The sequence below is a fragment of the Homo sapiens genome, chromosome 5 (genome assembly GCF_000001405.40).
Source record: "Homo sapiens chromosome 5, GRCh38.p14 Primary Assembly".
Lineage (NCBI taxonomy): Eukaryota > Metazoa > Chordata > Mammalia > Primates > Hominidae > Homo > Homo sapiens.
In genome coordinates, this window is record NC_000005.10 from 37,184,158 (window position 1) to 37,207,852 (window position 23,695).

At 37.8% G+C, this 23,695-nt stretch overlaps 1 protein-coding gene across 50 annotated transcripts in view, besides 1 other annotated feature; it reads right to left on the reverse strand.

The window, feature by feature from the left end:
* Window positions 1-23,695, reverse strand: part of CPLANE1 (ciliogenesis and planar polarity effector complex subunit 1) — a 173,708-nt gene that overhangs the window by 108,489 nt on the left and 41,524 nt on the right. For 44 of the 50 annotated variants that reach the window (XM_047417575.1, XM_047417572.1, XM_047417573.1 and 41 more), the window contains 9 exons: window positions 22,040-22,268; window positions 21,158-21,297; window positions 17,434-17,651; window positions 14,545-14,709; window positions 11,701-11,839; window positions 3,576-3,685; window positions 3,257-3,415; window positions 2,129-2,237; window positions 631-922 (listed from right to left, as the gene is read on the reverse strand). In XM_047417575.1, coding sequence (XP_047273531.1) covers window positions 631-922; window positions 2,129-2,237; window positions 3,257-3,415; window positions 3,576-3,685; window positions 11,701-11,839; window positions 14,545-14,709; window positions 17,434-17,651; window positions 21,158-21,297; window positions 22,040-22,268 — 1,561 coding nt within the window. Of the gene's footprint in view, window positions 1-630; window positions 923-2,128; window positions 2,238-3,256; window positions 3,416-3,575; window positions 3,686-11,700; window positions 11,840-14,544; window positions 14,710-17,433; window positions 17,652-19,166; window positions 19,255-21,157; window positions 21,298-22,039; window positions 22,269-23,695 lie in introns of those variants that run through there. The other 6 variants (XM_047417560.1, XM_047417559.1, XM_005248350.5 and 3 more) reach the window with 2 other exon arrangements.
* Window positions 636-836: a silencer, noted in NCBI's record as "peak5227 fragment used in MPRA reporter construct". NCBI's record gives its function as "represses an SCP1 promoter by STARR-seq MPRAs in K562 erythroleukemia cells {active_cell/tissue: K562}" and the evidence as "EXISTENCE:reporter gene assay evidence [ECO:0000049][PMID:32103011]".

Here is a 23,695-nt window from a genome sequence, read left to right on the forward strand (position 1 = left end):
TTTTTTGTTTTACCACACAAAAACTGGGAACTTTTTCTAAACACTTTTAGCTGTTATGAAACCTGTTGGGCGGACACCTTAACTGCCCAACAACAATTCCTTTTAAATGTTTCTTCTCAACATGATTCCTAGGGCAGAACACAGATCCTTAGTTCCCTCAGTAAGAGAACAGGTGTTGGCCACCTGGGCTGAAAGCATCCCATCCCTTCTGATTGAGGCAATTTCCTTCCCTGAAATATTTCCCTTAAAAATATTAAGGAAATTTAAGGAAAAATTTCCTTAAAAATAATATGGCTAACTCAGTAACCTCAAACTATTTAAGTCTAAAGATTACTAAAAAAAACTGAAAGTCCTCCAGTGAAGTGTAGAATTTCATCTACTCCTTTGATTTTATAATTTCAGATGGCAAAATTATTTCATATATCAATAATACTTAAAGTAAATTTTCGAATGTATAGTCTCATTTTATACTCCTAATATTCTTATGAGTGGAGGGGGTGGCACTTATCATTCATATTATTAATAGCACAATCAGTGAGGGTTGCTGGGACCAGAAATCAGCTCATCAGATGCCTGAAAGCTACTTTTCAAAGGAAGTGAATGCCAGTGATTAAAAGATCTCAATTGTACCTTTGATAGATATTTATCCTACTTTTTTCTTCAACCGACAAAGCTTCAGAGAACGTATCTGCATCACTGTGAACCACAGAATCTCCTAGTTCTGTGAGTGTACTTCTGCTCAAACTAGTCCCCAGGGAATATCTGTCAACACCTGGAGCCTCATCTGGTTTCTCTTCTTCAATTGGTTCCCATATATTCACTTCAAAAGAGCCTATATTTCTCTGCACACGTTTTAGAGCTTTCACCCTCACTTTCTGGATAGAATGCATGACAACAGACATCATTTCCTCAGTCTGGGGTCCTGGAAAGAAAAGAATAAAAAGTCTTAGTGTTCATTAAAATATTTCAATTCAAGACATAGGAGACCCAACTCTGGTCCCTCCTGGGGACAAGAAACCTAACTGATGACTAAGGCTTATTTCCACATTCTTACTGGTCGTGTTTTCTTCAGTATTTACTGGAAAGATATTTTAAAGTAGAACTGCAGAAGCTAAAGAAGGTCCATTAAAGAACACAGTAAAAGAGACAGAACCTAGACCTCATGAAGAAAAAGTATGCCCTGGAAAAAAAAAACTTTAAGTGATTTAACTGTTTTAAAACTCAGAAGGATAATTATATTTAATAAAAAGAATAATGAATGTTTTTTCTATTATCACATAGAGAATAAGATAAAATGAGGATAATTCTAGCCAAAAAAATCAAGGACATTTTTCTTACTAAAAGTAATAAGAAACAATAGCAAGGGAAGGTTTTCAAGGCTGCCTATAGAAACATTTTAAAACATTATTTAATACATAAACAGAATATTTTAGAGGATGTCAAAAAAAAGTATTAAGAAAAATACAAATCACAAATACAATATATTAATAGAATAATACAAAATCACTGGACATACCTGGACTTAAATACTGAATTATAGTTTTAAAAAGCAGGGTAATTTTAATTCTTTAAAAATTCTGCAACATTGTAAATGTACTTAATGTCAATGAATTGCATATTTTAAATGGCTAAAATGGTAAATTTTATATTATATGCATTTTACCACAGTAAGAAATGTGTGTATTCTAATTTTGAAGAACAAAATTAGAAGCATAAATAACCATAAAGGGAAATTACTTGTTTTCAACAAATACTTGCAATATACAAAGTACCATATGCTCATTTTATATTATCTTACTTAATCCTCTCTGAATACACATCATAAAGCAGGTAATACTATGCCCACTTTACAAATAAAGATATGAGGCTCAGAGAGACTGAGCAACTTGCCTAAGATCGCACAGTTACTGACTGACAGAGCCATGAGCCGAAGTCAGCTTCATCTGGTTCCAAAGCAAGAGATTAGTCTTTCTGCAATGGAGAAATGTTTCTACCTTCTCATACTCCTATCTCAAGGAAGAGGCAAAAATGCATAGACACATAAGCAACAGTAAATAAATATTTTCAAAACAAAAAGGGAATCTTCTGCAATTTATCTGTTAGCTATCTGAGAAACAACAAATAATACCTTTCACAACACAGTGTCTGAGTCTCTGGTGAAGAGAGTGATATTTGTCTCTTAAAGGAACCCTCACGTCCTCAGGATAGGGAAATGCTTTCACGAAAATTTCTGCTACCTTCAGAAAAAAAATTGTTTAAGTTTTATGAGAAACATCATTCTTTTTTTTTCTTCCATTCCACAAATATTTTATTTTAACTCAAAATATAAATGCACATTTCTTACTAATCTTTTGAAGTCAGGTCAAAGCCTCTCTCTGAGCATCTGTCTGCTAATAGGAGTTTAGTATCAACTTACTTTTTTATTTTAAAATATGTAATTGACAAAAACTGTGTATATTCAAGGTGTACAATGTGATGATTTAATATACGTATACATTCTGTGCTGATTTCCATAGTCGAATTAATTAGCACATCCATCAATACACACATTTACCATTGTAATATCCTCCCTTATCAAATTTCAGGTAAACAATACACTACGATTAACTGTAGTCACTATAGCCCGGCGCGGTGGCTCACGCCTGTAATCCCAGCACTTTGGGAGGCCGAGGCGGGCAGATCACGAGGTCAGGAGATCAAGACCATCCTGGCTAACGTGGTAAAACCCCGTGTCTACTAAAAAAATACAAAAAATTAGCCGGGCGTGTTGGCGGGAGCCTGTGGTCCCAGCTGCTCGGAAGGCTGAGGCAGGAGAATGGCGTGAACCCGGGAGGCGGAGCTTGCAGTGAGCCGAGATCGCGCCACTGCACTCTAGCCTGGGTGACAGAGCGAGACTCCGTCTCAAAAAAAAAAAAAAAAAAAAAAAAAAACTATAGTCACTATATTGTACATTGGATCCCTAGAACTTATTCATCTTGTAACTGAAAGGTTGTACCCTTTGACCAAGATCTCCCCATTTCCACCACATCCCCAGCCTCTGACAACCACCATTCCACTCTCTGCTTCCGTGAGTTTAACATTTTTATATTCCACACACAAGTGAGGTCCTACAGTATTTACCTTTTTGAACCCACAAGATATTATGCTAAGTGAAATAATCCAAAGAAAGGCAACATCATCCTTAATTAAAATTAAATAAAAATCTTTTAAAGTCTCTGATTCTGATGTAGTTTACTTTCACCTACAAGCACATTACCTTTCTGATTGGTGGCAGTTCTCCAATAAGGCTCAAAATTATATCCTGAATAAGTTCTTCCATATTAAAAAACCGAGAGAAAGGCAGCATTCTATAAGCCCATTCCACTGCACTAAGACAGTGCTCAATCATACAAGAATCAAACTCCACTTCAAGGTCCTAAAAGGATATTGAAAAACATTCATTTCCTTTTTAGTTTAGATGGTAGACCAGAATGAGTTCAAAAGAAAGTTTTGCTACAAACAATAAAATCTTCTTTTAAACAATAATTTCCCACTTAACGTGTGTTCATTTTTCTTATTTTTGCCCTGGTAAATACCTTTTCTCCTTTTACATTTTCTCTTGCTTTCTGATATTGCCTGCAACTATAGGATAACTTATCACGGACATGCAGCATCCAACACAGAGCACAAAGTTCTCTGAAGCAACCTAAAGCAGGAACACAAATATGAAAGAAAATCACATGAGTATGTACATTAATATTATAACAACTCCAACTCTGCTGATCATTTTTTTCAAAATAAAGGTCTTTATTTCATTCATTATAAAATGAACACATGCTCATTGTAAATTTATATAAAAGTCCTTATATAAAAGTCATGGAGATTGACTTATAAGTCACTAACAGATATTCATTTATGTTTAAACATTTTTAATACTAAAAACTATTTCTAATAGTAAATAATTTTTTATTAAAAGCAATACAAGTACACAAAGATATATAAAATCATACTATGTATGCTGCTTTGCAACTAGCTTTTTTTTCACCTACTATATCTTAGATATCTTTTCACATGGTAATATACTAAGTCTTCTTGTTGCCAATATGGTGTTCCATTGTATGGAGCATCAGGATTTAACTATACACAATGCACAGGCTCACAATCCAGCTATCAAAACAAGTTTTCACTCTTCTGCTAATCTTAAATTTCTATTATAGTTAACATGTGACCAATTAAGTGAAAACCATCTCATGTTCTATGGTTAATAGGACCTTTTCAACGGGGTGGTGTAGGCTCTGTAGACAGAGCAAGACCTTGTCTCCTAGCTACTTGGACACCTGAGGTGGGAGGATCGTTTGAGCCCAGGAGTTTGAGACCAGCCTCCATGTTGGCATGGATGTGGTGAAAAGGAAACACTTTTACACTGCTGGTGAAAACGTAAACTAGTACAACCACTATGGAAAACAGTGTGAAGATTCCTTAAAAAACTCAAAGTAGATCTACCATTTGATCCAAAAATCCCACTACTGGGTATCTACCCAGAGGAAAAGAAATCATTATATGAAAAAGACACTTGCACACGCTTCTTTCTAGCAGCACAATAGCAAGACCATCTCTGGAAAAAGAAAAATATAGGAACTTTTCCTTTGGAGGAAGAAAGATAATATTCTAAAATTTAGCATTCATTCATTTATGCCTTAATTGTTTATTTTTATTTATTTTATTATGATTATTTTTTTGAGACGGAGTCTTGCTCTATCTTGCCCAGGCTGGAGTGCAGTGGTGCGATCTTGGCCTCCACCTCCCAGGTTCAAGTGATTCTCCTGTCTCAGCCTCCCAAGTACCTGGGACTACAAGCGTGTGCCACCATACCTGGCTAATTTTGTATTTTTAGTAGAGACAGGGTTTCACCATGTTGGCCAGGCTGGTCTCAAACTTCTGACTTCAGGTAATCCACCTGCCTTGGATTACAGGCATAAGCTACCACACCCAGCCTATGCCTTAATTTTTTAAATAAGCCTTATTTTTACAATAAACTGACTTTTATATTAGTAGTCAGTATTTTCATTTTCTTTAGGGAGCTATTTAATATGCTTTTTAAAATAAATATTACAAAGTCAAAAAGAACAGTTTGACATTATGGAAAGTGGGCAGAAAGCAGGTCTTCTACACATTCTATTCATCCCAATAGTGAGAGAGGATGGTGGGTACATGGCCCCAGGGGGACTATCAGGGTCTCCAGTGAGCATTTTCACACTACAGCCCACCCCACACATCAGATTCTCATAGATTCTGCCGGGGGAGCACGGCCCAATCTTTTGAGAAAGGCATCATTACTGACAGATGTGTTTCATTATTTCATATTTCACAGGCAAGCTGGGATAGAACTAAGGCCAAGAACTAGCAAGACACAGTGCAGCAACATACTAAACAGTGACTCATCTAAAAACATCCTTTATCTGTGTTTTTCAGACTGTGGATTACAACCTTTTATTAGTTACTAGGCTATAAAATCAATTCAGTGAGTCTCAATCATCTTTTTAAAATAGAATACAACAGAATATATCAAGCGTGCATTGCAGCCGGGCACAGTGGCTCATGCCTGTAATCCCAGTACTTTGGGAGGACGAGGTGGGTGTATCACCTGAGGTCAGGAGTTCGAGACCAGCCTGGTCAACCTGGTGAAACCTCATCTCTACTAAAAATACAAGAATTAGCTGGGCGTGGTGGTGTGCACCTGTAATCCCAGCTACTTGGGAGGCTGAGGCAGAAGAATCACTTGAACCGGGGAGGTGGAGATTGCAGTGAGCTGAGATCACGCCACTGCACTCCAGCCTGGGTGACAGACTTGAGATTTTGTCTCAAAAAAAAAAAGAAAAGAAAAGAAGAGTGCATTGCACACAGTAAGAGTAAAGGTAGTTCATTAAATTTTCATTCTAACTTCATATGGGTGTGTGCATGTATTACCTTGCTATAAAATCTGCACTTATTTTAAATCATGGTCAAAAATGTTTGAATACCAAAAAGATGTAACCAACTGAAACCAGAATAGAACGGGTTCTACTAGACAAACGATCGAGTTTCCACAATAAATAAAGGGCATGAAACAGAATGGGGGCAAGGAAACTTTTATAGATTAAGATGGACTTATAGGCCAGGCATGGTAGCTCCTGCCTGTAATCCCAGCACTTTGGGAGGTCAAGGTAGGACTGCTTGAGCCCAGGAGTTCGAGACCAGCTTGGGCAAAAAAGTGAGGCCCTGTCTTTATGAAAAAATGAAAAAAAAAAACAAAAAAACCAGGCCTGGTGGTGCACACCTGTAGTCCCAGCTACTCAGGAGGCTGAGGTAGAAGGATCACTTGAACCTGGGAGGTCAAGGCTGCAGTGAGCTACGATCACACTATAAAAAGAGAAAGATTTATATATCAACCAAAATGCAATGTGTGGTGGACCTTGATTGGATAGATTTTTTTAAAAAAACTATAGAAAAGACATATTTGAAATTATCAAGTAAATTTAAACATGGGATAGATAACATAGTCAGATGCCACATAATGGCACTCAGGTCAATGACAGACTGCATATACTATGGTGCACCCATAAGATTATAATGGAGCTGAAAAATTTCTGTCACCTAGAGACATCATGACATCATAGTCCACACATTACTCAGGTGTTTATGGTGACAACTGTGTAAACACACCTACTGCACTGCCAGTCATATAAAATCTAGCCCATACAATTATATACAGTACATAATACTTGATAATAATAAACAACTGTTACTGGTTTATTTATTTACTATACTATGCTTTTTATCGTTATTTTAGCGTATACTCTTACTTATTAAAAAAAACTGTAAAATAGCCTCAGGCAGGTCCTTCAGGAGTTATTCTAGAAGAAGGCATTGTTATAAGAGAAGACATCTCCAAGCATGGTATTGCCCCTGAAGACTTTCCAGTAGAAAAAGATGTGGAGGTGGAGGACAGAGAGATTGATGATCCTGACCCTATGTAGGCCTAGACTAATGAATATGTTGTGTCTTAGTTTAAATTAAAAAAAAAAGTTTAAACAGTAAAAAATAAACTTTAAAATTTTTCAATAGAAAAAAGCCTGGCCAAGCACAGTAGCTCACACCTGTAATCGTAGCACTTCGGCAGGCTGAGGCGGGAGGATCGATTGAGCCCAGGAGTTTAGACCAGCGTGAGCAACATAGTAAGACCATGTCTCTATTTTACAAATAAAAAAAATTAGGCCAGGTGCAGTTGCTCACACCTGTAAAGCCAGCACTTTGGGAGGTAGAGGCAGGTGGATCGCTTGAGCTCAGGAGGCCAAGATCAGCCTGGGCAACGTGGTGAAACCCCGTCTCTACTAAAAATACAAAAATTAACCAGGTATGGTGGTACATGCCTGTTGTCCCAGCTACTCAGGAGGCTGAGGCAGGAAAAATGCCTGAACCCGGGAGGCAGAGGCTGCAGTGAGACAAGATGGCACCAATGCACTCCAGCCTGGGCAACAGAGACCCCATCTCTACAAAAACTAAAAAATAAATTAGCTGGTACAGTGGCTTACGCCTGTAGTCCCAGTACTCAAGGGGCTGAGGTTAGAGAATGTTTTGAGCCCAGGACTTTGAAGTTGCAGTGAGCTGTGATTATGCCACTGTATGTCTCTTCAGCCAAGTATGATTACAAGAGTCAAAAAGGTTTTAATTTTTTTTTAAGTTCATAAAGTAAAAACATTACAATAATCTATGGTTAATTTATTATGGAAGAAAAATATTTTTAATAAATTTAGTATAGCCTAAGTGTACAGTGTTTATAAAGTCTACAGTAGTGTATAGAAATGTCCGAGGCCTTCAAATTAACTCACCACCCACTCACTGACTCCCCTGGGGCAAAAACTTCCAGTCCTGTAAGCACCATTCATGGTAAGTGACCCATACTTACCATTTTTTAAAATCTTTTATACTGTATTTTTACTGTACCTTTTCAATGTTTAGATATGTTTATATATACAAATATTTACCATTGTGTTAAAACTGCCTACAGTATTCAGTGTAGTCACATTCTGTATTCAGTACTGCAGTATTCAATATGGCAACACTTCTTTTTAGAGACAGGGTCTCACTATGTTGCCTAGGCTGGAGTGCAGTGGCTATTCACAGGTGCAATCATTGCATACAATAGCCTTGAACTCCTAGGCTCAAGCAATCCTCTTGTACAGGTTTGTAGCCTAAAAGCAAAAGGCCGTATCACATAGCCTCAGTGTGTATGAGGCTATTTTTGTCTAAGTATATCCTATGGTCACACAACAAAATTGTCTAATGACACATTTCTTAGGACGTAGCCCCATCATTAAGCAGGCCTGACTATATATGATATTAAAGATTTATTGTAAATTTTGTCAGTCATGATAATAGAATTATGGTTTTAAAAAATACCTCATCTGGCCAGGCACGGTGGCTCACACCTGTAATCCCAGCACTTTGGGAGGCCAAGGCGGGCAGATCACGAGGTCAGGAGATTGAGACCATCCTGGCTAACACGGTGAAACCCCGTCTCTACTAAAAATACAAAAAATTAGCTGGGTGTGGTGGCAGGCGCCTGTAGTCCCAGCTACTCGGGAGGCTAAGGCAGGAGAATGGTGGGAACCCGAGCTTGCAGTGAGCCGAGAGCGTGCCACTACACTCCAGCCTGGGCAACAGAGCTAGACTCCATCAAAAAAAAAAAAAAAAAACAAATACCTCATCTGGGCCGGGCATAGTGGCTCACGCCTGTAATCCCAGCACTTTGGGAGGCCGAGGCAGGTGGATCACGAGGTCAGGAATTCAAGACCAGCCTGACCAACACGGTGAAACCCCGCCCTACTAAAAAGTACAAAAATTAGCTGGGTGTGGTGGCCCGCGCCTGTAATCCCAGCTACTCAGGAGGCTGAGGCGGAGAATTGCTTGAACCTGGAGGCAGAGGTTGTAGTGAGCTGAGATTGTGCATGCCACTGCACTCCAGCCTGGGCGACAGTGCAAGACTCCAACTAAAAAAAAAACGACAACAACAACAACAAAACTTCATCTGTTCACTACATATACTGAAGTACTTATTGTACTTATGATGTACTCAGATTTGCTTTCATGTGTTGACAATTGTTGCAAGTGGGTGAGAGGTACTCGAGTGCTTATACATCTCTACTTTGGTTTAAATTTTCCGTAATAAAAAAACTTCAAAAGAGTGTGAAATCCTGGGCCAGGCATGGTAGCTCACACCTGTAATCCCAGCACTTTCGGAGGCTGAGGCAGGCGGATTACCTGAGGTCAGGAGTTTGAGACCGACCTAGCCAACATGGCAAAACCCCATATCTACTAAAAATACAAAAATTAGCTGGGCGCAGCAGCGGGTGCCTATAGTCCCAGCTACTGGGAAGGCTGAGGCAGGAGAATCACTTGAACCCAGGAGATGGAGGTTACAGTGAGCCGAGATTGTGCCACTGCACTCCAGCCTGAGTGACAGAATAAGACTCCATCTCAAAAATAAATAAATAAATAAAATTAAGAGTTAAAATCTACTATTTTAGGTAACAAACTAGGGAAAGGAACCTTGTTTTTTTGTTTTTGTTTTTGTTTTTAAAGAAACAGGGTCTTGTTCTGCCGCCCGGGCTGGAGATCAGTAGCAAGATCATAGCTCACTGCAGCCTAGAAATCCTGGGCGCAAGGAATCCTCCTGCCTCAGCCTCCCCAAAGTACTGAGATTACAGGCATAAGCCACCGCACCTGGCCAGAAAGGAACTTTTTTTTTCTTTTTTTTTTTTTTTGAGACAGAGTCTCGTCCTGTCACCCAGGCTGGAGTACAATGGTGCAATCTTGGCTCACTGCAACCTCCATCTCCCAGGTTCAAGTGATTCTCCTGCTTCAGCCTCTCGAGTAGCTGGGATTACAGGTGCACACCACTATGCCTGGCTAATTTTTTGCATATTTTAGTAGAGACAGGGTTTTACCATGCTGGCCAGGCTGGTCTCGAACTCCTGACCTTGTGATCCGCCCAACTCATCCTCCCAAAGTGCTGGGATTACAGGCATGAGCCACCACGCCCAGCCAGAAAGGAAACTTTTTAATCTAGCCAAATCACTTCTCAACAATCAAGAGACCAAATCAAACAAAAGAATAATTAAACAGTAGAACTCATGATCAAAATGAAAATATTAAAAATATGTGTTCAAATCTTTATTTAAGTCATTTCAAAGGACTATGTCCCTATTTATGAGCAAATATCTTTTAACTGGGATTGTTGTGAATTTAACTCACTTCTTACAGACCTAGATTTTTAAGAAATAAATGAGATTGTACATACTTTTCCAGATGACACCTGCCTGGCCCTTTTGTTACGTGAATGAAGAGTCTATGAAACTAAGCTCATGACAGGTGAGAGAAGCAATCAAGAAGCATTTCAATGCCGTTTCGGTTGGAAAAACAGACAATCTGAGCCCCAGGACATGTAAGATTATACTAAGGGTGAGTGAGTTAAGAATAAACTTTTTTTTTTTTTTTTTTAGGGACAGGCTCTCACTACGTTGCCCAGGCTGGAGTGCGGTGGCTATTCACAGGTACAATCATTGCACACAAGACCCTCAAACTCCTAGGCTCAAGCAACCTCCTACCTCAGCCTCCCAAGTACCTGGGATTACACCACTGTGCCCAGCTCTAAAATAAACATTTTAATCAAAGTCTAAAGATAAGATCAGGGCTGGCCAGGCGCGGTGGCTCACACCTGTAATCCCAGCACTTTGGGAGGCCGAGGCAGGTGGATCACGAGGTCAGGAGATCAAGACCATCCTGGCTAACACGGTGAAACCCCGTCTCTACTAAAAAATACAAAAAAAATTAGCCGGGCACGGTGGCGGGTGCCTGTAGTCCCAGCTACTTGGGAGGCTGAGGCAGGAGAATATCGGGAACCCAGGAGGCAGAGCTTGCAGTGAGCCGAGATCACGCCACTGCACTCCAGCCTGGGAGACAGAGCAAGACTCCATCTCAAAAAAAAAAAAAAAGATAAGATCAGGGCTTAATATAAATAGAACTGATAAGGATTAAGGAAGGATTAAGGAGGAAAGAGTGAAATGATATCTAAAGTTTTACTTCTTTTTAAACTTGTTAGGCAAATAACTGGACATAGACCACGAATTAAGAAATTAATTTAGGTCAGGCGCAATGGCTCATGCCTGCAATCCCAACATTTTGGGAGGCCAAGGCAGGTAGACTGCTTGAGCTGAGGAGTTCAAGATCAGCCTGGGCAACATGGCAAAACCCTGCCTCTACAAAAAATACAAAAATTAGCTGGGTGTGGTGGTGTGCACCTGTCATCCCAGCTACTCAGGAGGCTGAGGTGGAAGGATAGGTTCAGCCCAGGAGGTGTGTTGCAGTGAGTTAAGATCATGCCACTGCACTCCAGACTGGGCAACAGAGCCAGACTCTGTCTCAAAAAAAAAAAAAAATTCAGTTAAATAATGAAGCATGACATAAGGTAATAGGTATCACAATTTGTTTATATAAGAAATTTCTGACTTACTATCATATATATCATATATATATACATAGCTGTTAAAGTACAATATTTACTTGTAAACACAAAGTAAAATATCAGAGCATATTGTACTTTGAAGAGTCAATACTTTCCCAAATCAAATGAAAAATATACCATCATTCATACTCTAAGCAAGCAGTTCATTTTGGACAAACCTATTGCTCTAATGGAAACTTCATCAAGCTTGTGGTCTCCAGCTGCTCCAGGTCTAAAAAATGCGATACCTCCTTTACAGTAATTAAGTAATGACTGAGGAAAAGGACTCAGTGAAGGAAGGGATCCTTTCATTCGAATCTAAAAGTAAAGAATAACCGAACATGTTAATTATCAGCTGTATAAATCACTTTTAAAAGAAACTATAAAAGAATCAGGCAGGTAAGATAAGCCACACAGAATGGAAAACACAGCACATGAAATCAGCTATATTTTCAGAAACTTACAAATTTAATTCAGGAAAGTCACTAGCTTGTTATCTCAAAAAAAAAAAAGGTTCTAAGTAAATCATTTGTACTCTCTTGTCACAATTTTGCCTGTATAAGAAGAATTTAATGCTATTTTTCCCTGGCTTTCCTCACTGGCATAGCAAAGAAAATAAAGAAATTTAAGAATCTTAATCTTATCCCAAATAAAGCTGTGTACAGTAACTAAAACAAATACAAAAAAATTATGCCTACATACATAACTTTTAAAAAACTAATCTATAAATGGCAGAATTAGAAAGACACCATTTGGCAGCCCCTAATAATGACTCTAGGCAAGGATCATTAGTAAATGCTAACAGAGTAAAAAGCTGAGGGGTTGACGGGGATACTTGATAGAGGGTGTGACACGATCCAAACTCAATCTCCTCATCCCTAAAATTAAAATAAGCAAACACATGTGCCATGTGCGAGAGAGAAGTGCACAATACTTATGAAAGATTCATTTCTAAAAAAATTTGAGGCCAAGCGAGGTGGATCACACCTGTAATCCCAGCACTTTAGGGAGGCCGAGGTGGGCAGATCACTTGACGTCAAGTTTGAGCCCAGCCCGGCCAACATGGTGAAACTCCATCTCTACTAAAAACACAAAAATTAGTTGGGCGAGGTGGCAGGCGCCTGTAGTCCCAGGTACTCAGGAGGCTGAGGCAGGAGAATCACTTAAACCCGGGAGCCGGAGGTTGCGGTGAGCCGAGACCATGCCACTGCACCCAGCCTGGGCGACAGAGTGAGATGCTGTCTCAAAAAAGAAAAAAGGAAAAAAAAAAAGAAAATTTGAACTCCAATCTATTTAAACCTCTCTACCTCAATGAGCACAGATTAATGACCGGGTTACAGGGGTAAAAAAAGGAAAGAGAAACAAGCTAAACGACACTAAATGAAGAAACGATCAGACAAATCTAGAATATGGTGCAGGAAAAATTACCTAGTTTTTTTTTTAACAAACCAAGAATAAAAAGAGGGGAGCTTCTACAGATAACAGGCTGATTTAAATATATTTGGAGATGATAAAATTTATTTCCACGTTTCAGGAAAGGGCTCTAAGAGACATAAACCTGGGAAGGAAGCATTAACAGCAGGCTTGCAATTGATTTTCTCCTGCTAGTGTCACTTCCAGAAAGACACAATCTAATCAAATCTCCTGGGAAGCATGCTAATGACAGACTTCTTGTCAAATACATTAATGGCATTTACTACCAGGATGGTACTAAGAGGTAGAGAGAGAGAGAGCCAGCAAAGAAATGGGGGACCACAGTTCTACAGCCACATGCAACTGAATTCTACCAACAATCTGAATGCACCTGGAAACGGATGTTCCCCTAGTGCCTCTAGAAAGGAATGTAGCCCCGCTGCCACCTTGATTGGCCTTGTGAGACTCTAAGCAGAGACCTAGCTGAACCACCCTGTGGTGGTTCTGATGCACAGAACCTGTGGGATATTAAATGGCTGCTATTTTAAGCTGCTAAATTTGTGTTAATTTGGTAGGGTAGTAATAGAAAACTAATATGGCTCAGAATCTTTGTTTCAGCACCATTTTTTAATTGAGCTATAACTCACATATCATCAAAGTCATCTTTTAAAAGTGTACAATTAGTGGTTTTTAGTATATTCACAAAGTTAGGCAACCATCATCACTGTCTAATTCCAGGTCATTTTCATCACCCCAAAAAGAAAAACAAAAGTAGTCACTGTCCACTTCCTCCTCTCCCTAACCCCGGCAACCAACCACTAGTTACTTTCAGTTTCCATTGTGTTTCAAAAATACTTTTAGATAACTTATCAAAGTTATCTAAAAGTCTCTCCAAAGGTTCCTACTAAAAATAATTATATTGTTTTAATTAGGCTGAATTAATTTAATTTTACTTAGGCTGAATTAAAAATATTTGGAGATGATGAAATTTATTTCCACATTTCCAAGAGAGACAGCAGGCATATAAAGGATTTTCAGCTAGATAAAAAGACCTACCAGGTGTCCTATCTGGCTAGATATCTGATAAGAATGAAGCGACAGCTCAGCTGAAGTCAATATAGAAGGGGATGAACACCTGGGAATCAAACTGAATTGCACATCTCAGAAAATAGCAAGGGGGAGACCCTGACTAGTGGAGGCTACCGGATGGAAACAGACGAGAATGAACTATAACTTTCCATTCTCTGAACCCACAGAAGGCCCCACAGAACACAGACAACACCTCAAGGAGAACTGGGAGAAAGCCCTGGACTGAGTTTCAATCTTTAATGACAGGGGAGTTGGAAAAAAAAAAAACTGTAATTGCCTGGAATTAATGGACTAGATTACACTATCTTTTGCTAGACATGGTGGAACTAACCTAGAGACCCTGTTCAGAGTCCTCACCTTTCAACAGGAAGAATCTGGTCTGTTTGTTTATGAATAAATCTGAAATTTGTGGATTTATAGGGCAGGACTCCTTGGGAAAATATAACAATTATAAAAACAATAATATAAATATGAGTAATTTCAGTTAACACAGCATGTAAATGACTAAGATATTTCCATACCTTCTGCATGACTTTTCTTGCCCACCTCAACTGCAATATATACCACTGTGCTACAGGAAAAGAACACTGAGCCGCCCGGAAAAGCAGGAGAACACGCTGAAGGATTCCAGATACCTTCTGGCGATTATTTTTTTCAGCTTTTAAAAGAAGATCATCACCATCTTCCTGAGGAAAATAAAACAATCCATTTTAGTGGCTAGTAATGAGAAAATTTAGAATGTTAAAATGAAAATAAAGATAGGCTAATGAGCTGAGCACAGTGGCTCACGCCTGTAATCCCAGCACTTTGGAAGGCTGAAGCAGGAGGACTGCTTGAGCTCAGGAGTTGGAAGCTGAAGTGAGCCATGATTGCATCACTGCACTCAAGCCTGGGCCACACAGGGACACCCTGTCTCAAAAAAAAAAAAAAAAAAAAAAAAAGATAGGCTAATGATGCTCACTGCTTCTCAAACTAGGATGTTCCTGGAGATTTATAAAGGAAATTCTGAGGCACGGGCTCTGAGATTTCAACTATGGCTATTTCTAGAATTGAGAAATGTTATCTCCCCTCAACGTAAAGGGATAAGCTGACCCTTGTTCCCAGTCTTACGCTAGAACAGTTAAAGCCCGCTACTCCAGACTCCATTGGTGGGATGTTACAGAGAGGTCCATCTAAGCAGAATCCCTTTTCTCTTCCTCTGCTGGGAAGAATCCTACTTATATTTCAATGTTACTTCCTCTGTGAAGCCCATCCCTCTGTGCTACAACAGCACTTTGTTCACACTTCTACTGTAGCTTTCACCAATTTATTCCATATCAATTTATACCTGTATCCCACTGTACTCAGAACTCCCAAGAGGAAGGGCCTTGTCATTTGTCTTCGTATGGCCACAGTGTTCACACTCAAGTCTGATACATAGTAGGACCCAATAAATGTTTGTTGAATAAATGCTATCCAAACCAGTAGCTAAAGATTATTTTCCCAGATAATGAGATAATGTGAGCATTGTAAACATCTGCTTCCCCAACATCCTTCTTCCCTGCCCACTTCTTAACAGTACTCAGTTTTTGAGTATCTGCCCATCTCCTACATGGCTCATATGATTGAGGGAAAGCTCATCCCACCTCAAGGAAGGATCTATTCACAGGCCAAGCAGTACCTTGTGTTAAGCCTAGCCACAGTGACTGTTTAAAGGACAGGCATGTGACCCAAGCCAGTCTCACTAAGAGTGAATCTCAATCCTCTTGCTTGGAATGCTGGGACAGAAATAATTTTGCCACTTCTCTTTGTCTCAATCACTGTGCCCATGGACATGGACAAGGCATCCTTAGAAGCTGTTAGTGGCCATTCTGCTCCCACAAGGGGAGCTAGTCTTCAGGTGAAGATGACACCTCAGAAAACAAACTAGAGCAAAAGACAGAGCCCAAGTCTTTGGTAACATAACTAAATCAGAAACCTGCCCTACAACTAGGCTTCTTCATCACGTGAACCAATAAATGCCGTTATTGTTTAAACCATTTTGACCAAGTGTTTTATTACTTGCAACACAAGGGGTTCTAACTGATATACGGTGACATTTAGAAGAAACCTTACCAAGGAGAATTGCTTTAATAAAAAAGAATAAAATGAAGCACTACTAAAGGCAGTAACCACTCAAACTACTCGAACTATTATCTGCACAGGCTATCCAAAAAACTTTAAATGTCATTTCAAATTTCTAAACCAATTACTAAAGACTCAGATGCAAGAGGAAAGATGAATTATTGAGAAATGCCATGGACTTTTTATTCCTTCCATTTGTAAAATCAACAAGTAAAATGTTTTAGACTATTGAAATATAACCAAATAGGACAAATGAGAAATAAAAAACTAGAGGTAGAAGTCGCCAATATTGAAACAGGAGATAGTAAAAAAATAATACCCAGAAACACTTCAAAGTGTTAATCAAATACTTAAAAGTCTAAATGTAAGTAATTTATAATAACACTTTAAATCTTAAAACCAGCTAACTATAATGTTATGATTTTTTAATAAGAGCAGATAAAAAGTTTCTGAGAGGAATATAGTATTTATAATATAGAACTATCAATTGAATAGTGTAGGAAAAAAAAAACCTTTTAAAACAAAGTCAAATAAAAATAAGTCTTTCTTTTCTTTTTTGAGACAGAGTTTTGCTCTGTCACCCAGGCTGGAGTGCAGTGGTGCAATCTCGGCTCACTACAACCTCTACCTCCCGGGCTCAAGCCATCTACCCACTTCAGCCTACTGAGTAGCTGAGACTACAGGCACATGCCACGATGCCCAGCTAATTTTTGTATATTTTATAGAGACAGGGTTTCGCCATGTTGCCCAGGCTGGTCTCAAACTCCTTGACTCAAGCAATCTTCCCGCCTTGGCCTCCCAAGTTCTGGGATTACAGGTGTGAGCTACTACACCCAGCCAAGTCTTTCAAAAAAGGCAAAGACAAAGAGATAAATAAGAGACTGAAATAATGTATGGCTTCTAATTCTGACACTCATTATTTCATTTGTTAGCCTAAAAAATGCCTAATTTTTAAAAGTCTGGATATTAAGATTAATTGTGCTATATTGTTACAATAATTTTAACATTTATTGAATAATTACTATATGTCCCAGGTCCTGAGCTAGAAGATTTTACAGGATATCTCAATCCTCACAAAAATGCCATGAGAGGTACTATTATCATCTGCATTTAACCGATACGGAAACTTAAACAGCAGTTTAGTACATTCCCTAAGATTATACAATTAGTGAACAGCAAAGCTGGGATCTATACGTTTGTCTTTAGAGCTTGAATTTTTAACCTGATGATTATTATCAAGTTAATTATTTTAAAAACTTGACAAAATCAACTTTAAATTAATTTAAAAGTTAATGCTATAAGCTTACTTCACTAAGAATAGCTGGCTGGGGACAGTACAATGGAGGAGCTGGAAGATACAAGCCGAATGGCACTAAGCCCCACAGTCTTTTACTGAAGTCCTTGGCAGAGTCTATCAGAAGTTGAAATGTCTCCGAAAGAATATCTGCATCGGCCATAACTGATGCTTTCAGTACTTCTTGTACTGAACCAAATAGCAGATTTGCATCTTCCTCTTCAATGGGATCTATCAAATACAAAAATTTGGTAAAATAGTTAAAGCTTGTATTAAACTTCTTATCCATTTTGTAGGAAAAAATTTCAAATCTAAAAACATTCATTGTCAAGAATGAACACATTGGTTGACATACAAACATCCAAACTTACAGACAGAAATTACAAACTATCTTGTTACTTTAAGATTATAGGTAAGACCATGAGACATTTTTATACAAGATATTGTAGAAACAACTATACAATAAAAATATTCTTAGAATGTAGTTCTGAGTCAAAAATAATTGAAAAAATATTAATGGGAAAAGAATGTCAAGAAAGACACCAAAATAATATAAAAGATTGTGTGAGAGTAACTTTTCCTTTTTTTTTTTTTTGAGATGGAGTCTCACTCTGTCACCCAGGCTGGAGTGTGAAGTGCAGTGGCAGGATCTCGGCTCACTGCAACCTCTGCCTCCCAGGTTCTACCAATTTTCCCACCTAAGCCTCCTGAGTAGCTGGGATTACAGGCACACACTATCCAGGCTAATTTTTGTATTTTTAGTAGAGATGAGGTTTCACCATGTTGGTCAGGCTGGTCTTGAACTCCTGATCTCAGGTGATCCACCTAGCCTCCTAAAGTCCTGGGATTACAGACATGACCACCGTGCCTGGCCATTTTTCCTTTTCTTAATAGTACATGATAGTACTTTGTAATAATAAGTTAATAAAAATGACTTATGAAGGAAACAGGAAAACACAAAATAGTCATATGTATAGTACGGCTTCAACTATGCAAATATCTATATATATGTGCACATGTCCCAAAAGGCAAAATGTAAGATGTGGTGGTAGAACTGGAAACTCAGGGATTTTTCTACTATGAAATATTTTAAGCATACTGTAAAATATAGAATATATGAAAGTACAGAATATAATATGTCAAACACTTATGTACTGACTTCTCATCCTTGTCTGATATTAACATTTTTGCTATATTCAACTTAGGTAGCCACTATCCAGCATTTGGTGTGGATATACTGGAATTCCAATTAAATATATGTTGTCTTTCTGTTGTGTGTTCTACAAAGCTTAACTTCTCTTTCATATTTTTCAAATCTATGTCCCTATCTATTTTGTATATATTTATCTTTCTTTATATATTTTATATATATATATGTATATGATAGCTCAGATGAATAGCTCAGATTCATCTTTTCCAGTTCACAAATTTGCTCCTAAATTGGTTTAGTAACTTTAACCATCTATTGAAGTTTTTGTTTTTAAATCAGGTTGAGACATAATTTACATACTATATCCATCCTTTTTAAAGTATACAGTTCAATAAAATTAAACAAATCTATATTGGCTTGTAATAACATTTCCATCACTCCAAAAGTTATACTTCTTTGTAGTCAATTCCCTGTTTATTCTCAGGCAACCCCTGATCTGTTTTCTGCTCCTATAGTTTTGTTTTTTATAGAATGCCACAGAAATGGAATCATACGGTATGTAGTCTTCGTTCCTGACTTCTTTCAGGACTTCTTACCATGACGGTTCTGTGATTCATCTATGTTGTCACAAGTTATCAGCAATTTGTTCCTCTTCACTATTTGTTATTCCATTTTAAAGATATATTTGAATTTGCTTATCCATTCACCAGTTGACGGACATTTGAGGTGTTTCCAAATTTTGGCTATTATGAAAAAGTTGCTATAAACATTCATGTATGGATATTTGTTTTGTTTCATTTTTTGAGACAAGGATCTCACTCTGTCACCCAGGCTGGAGTGCAGTGGCACAATCATGGCTCACTGCAGACTTGACCTCCTAGGCTCAAGGGATTCTCCCACTTTAGTTAGCTTCCCAAGCAGCTGGGACTACAGGCATATACCATCATGCCTGGATAATTTTTGTATTTTCTGTAGAGACAGGGTTTTGTCATATTGCCCAAGCTGGTCTCGAACTCCTGGGCTCAAGTGATCTGCTGGCCTTAGCCTCCCAAAGCATTGAGATTACAGGCATGAGCCACTGCGCCTGGCTTCATGTACACATTTTTGTGTACATGAATATTTGAATGGGCCTGTTTCTATTTCTCTTTAATGGAATGGAATTCATTCAAGAGCAGCTAAAGAGAAAAAAATGGAACCCTTTGAATTTTTATTTGCTTGTTGTTTCTGACCTCTGGCAATTCCCCTTACTTTATTTAAAGCTTGGCCTTTAAGTGGATATTTTTTGTATTTTATCTAGAAACACATTTTATCTATGTATTTATCGTGGAAGAGTTTTCAGATCATTTAAAACAACATATTGCCAAAACTCAAAGTTCAGACTGGGGATATTTTAGTCCCTTCTTTAAAATCCAACTTTCACACAGTAACATCTTTTCATTGATTAAAGCAAAAGAACTGCACAGAAAATTATCAAAGAAAAGTTTATAGTCAGATTTCCAAGCATTATAGGTTCTCTCAAAACAGAAATGTTATAAGTTTTAGGAATCTAGAGTTAGAAGTCTCACTCTTTACTGGAGCAAAGCACCAATAAAAACAGAAGGGCCTCACAGTTGCCCTGGTTTTACATTAAATATACGACATTAAATGACTGATTTCATTACTTTTTATCTAAATTTCTCCAACTGTAAAACAGATAAATTTTATAGGATTCCTGTGTGAATCCATGTAATACATGTAATATTCTATCATTTTTAATTTTTTAATACCATTTTGAACTTTTCAAATAAAAAAGATCTATAATTTATGCACTAGGTGAGAGTTGAAATAAATCACTCCTAAGTACCCTTCCAGGCTTGAGATTCTACAGCTCCAAAAGAAAATGATACAAATGAAGCGAAATATAATTAGTGTAAAGGTATGTATGAAGGCTACTCTCAACATAGTCTCTGGGGTGGCCTTGCTCTGCAGGAGGAGTCAGAGAGCTGTAACACTGCGGCATCAAGAAAGCTACTTTAATATTTAAAAAAAAAAAAAAAGGCATGTATGGAAAATCAGAAAATCATTCAGTTATCAACCCTTGTATTGTAAGCTGGCATCAATTTTGGGTGTTCCCATGGTTAAGTATAAATATCATACTTTCATTTTTCAGCCGGGCGCAGTGGCTCATGCCTGTAATCCCAACACTTTGGGAGGCCAAAGCAGGCGGATCACCTGAGGTCAGGAGTTTGAGACCAGCCTGGCCAACAAGGTGAAACCCTGTCTCTACAAACACTACAAAAATTAGCCGGACGTGGTGGCCCACGCCTGTAATCCCAGCTACTCGGGAAGCTGAAGCAGGAGAATTGCTTGAACCCGGCAGGTAGAGTTTGCAGTGAGCTAAGATCACGCCACTGCACTCCAGCCTGGGTGGCAGAGTAACACTCCATCTCAAAAAATAATAAAATAAAATAAAAATAAATATCATACTTTCATTTTTGATAAGTTTATTTCAAAGTGTTAATACATTTGTAGACATGTATAAACTTTTTAAGGTATTATAAGGTTTATATTAATCTGACACGAATCAGACTATACATACATAACACACCTGTAAACTGTTTATATTTTGAGCCCATTTCATTTTTTGCTTCCAAAGAGGCTGGTTGACCTAAAACACACTGCAGTTTTTCCTGAAAAATCTGTGCTGGAGTCATACGGAGTGGTAGATTCAGACTCTTTTTCTTGGACCTGAAATGACATCAAATTAAGGGAAATGAATCCAAATTTTGAAAAAAAAGGAAAGGTTTCACATATCAAGGACTAAACATGAAAGTTTAAGAAACAATGGAATTTACTTTTTTATCTATCGTACATGTAAAAAAGATATATTCAAGGAAATATTGTATTAAGACCCTCCACGATTATGATCCTAATATACTCCCCCCATTCTTATTTCTAATTGCTACCCTAAACACGGGCTTTACTAACACATAAGTGTGCTAAATAAATGGTTTTTGTTTGTTTTGAGACAGGGTCTCACTCTGTTGCCCAGGCTGACGTGTAATGACATGATCACGGCTCACTGCAGCCTTGACCTCCCGCGCTCAAGTGATCTTCCCACCTCAGCCTCCCAAGTAGTTGGGACCACAGGCACGATCATCGCCCCTGGCTATTAATAAATGTTTTAACACAAATAAGTAAGCCACTGAGCTGTTCAATACAGTAACCACTAACTATATGTGGCTATTTTAATTTAAATTAACTAAAGTTAAATTGAAAATTTAATTCCTTGGTCTCACTGGCTGCATTTCAATAGTTACTTGTGGTGAGTGGCTACCATACTGGACAACACATTTCTATCACTAAAGAACGTTCCATTGAACAATGCTGAACTAAGGATTCCACATAAAATGTAAATACCAGCAATAAGAGAAATATAAAATACATAGTTCAATCATACTATATCTTAAAATTGCCTAAAAATCCATACCTCATGAAATTGCTATCACGTTTACAGAACAGCTGGAAAGCCACACCAATTGAAACAGACGTCTTCCAGTCTCCAAGTTTATATGCCAACCACACAGCCTCTGGAACCAGGCCACCAATAAATAGTAATTCAAGTGCATATTCAACTGTCCACACATTAGAGAGATTCTGATCTCTAACAACACTGGCCACCTTAGAGTGTTGCAGAGGAATAAGTCGAAAGGACTGCTCTGTGAGTAAATTTTTAAAAATGGATTATTACAATCACATCCAAACTCATGCTTCTTTACATGGGCATATTTATCTCTTCAATCAGTATTATCTACAAAAAACCACCAGGAAGATACATACAAAATGGGCTAAAGTAATACTCAACATGCCCTAGAACACTTTTAACACTGAAGAATGTGCCTCATTCGTGGGTCATGAAACAAATGCCAGCATTATTTTAAAAATGAAACAAAAGAGAAAAAAAACAAAACAGAATAGAAAGTATCAGACACAAAATAAAGGTAAATACTGTTTAATGAAACTTTTGTGTCAGGTAATATGTAAACACATACAAAAAACATTTATATCTACTATACTACTGGTTCACAAAGTACAATTTATTACCGTGACATGGGTCACAATGTGCAATTTATTACTGTGGGATGCTCAGAAATACATGTTTATTTCTCATACTAGATTATGAAATGTAGAAGGCAGAGACTACATTTTATCTGACTTTGTGTTACCCACAGTGTTATGCAATAAAAGACTAAGTTGAGGTAACAATGAAGCATATTAAGTGTCAATATTAGTGTTGATTACAAAGCAGAAAAGTGTGATGTTCAGTAATTCTGACTAAATAATAAGATTGCCATCTGGCCTGTGATTTAATACAAAAGGATAATATCGTTCCCCCTGGCCTTCTGTCCCTTTCCCTAATTGAAGTAACTTGATAAAGCAACTTAAAAATAGGATAAAAGAAATGTTATTAAAAAATACATGTTGATGGGATTTTTACTCATTCTCTCAAAATAAAAGTCATAAACAGCATTCATGAGCTTCTCTGTTCCTCGAAATGGTGAGTTTCTCACATGACCTATACAGGCTATGCCTACTGCAAGAACTAACATTTTAGCTCTCTGACAAACACATCAGGAAAAACAAAAAGTTTTCAACCACTTGGATGTCTGATTTTGCATAAGCAAAGGAGCCAGGAGACTGGCTAAATTTTTCCTATTTTTATTCACTACGAGCAAGGTAATATACCATTAAAATAACTTGAATAATTAAATTTTCTGAAAATTTTACTACTTTCACACAGTAAAAAAGTTCACGACCTTTTAAAATATCACACCAAATAAGCAACTCAAATCCCTAGAAACATTCTGATTAGAAAAATTAACATGAAATGTATATGCATCCTGAAACATTCACAGAACATAGGAGTTTGAACACATAGTTCAAAATCCATGGTTCTACGACTGATTATATTTGCTGACCACTTGTTGCCATCTTTATTAAATTTCTGATAGTATTTTAACTTGTACTACTCTAACTTAGGTGTGCCTTGTACATACATATGTATCTGTTCATGTCTACTCTTGCTTAAAGCCCTCCAACAGCTTCCCATGATACTTAAAATTCAGATTTCTTAACATGGCTTACA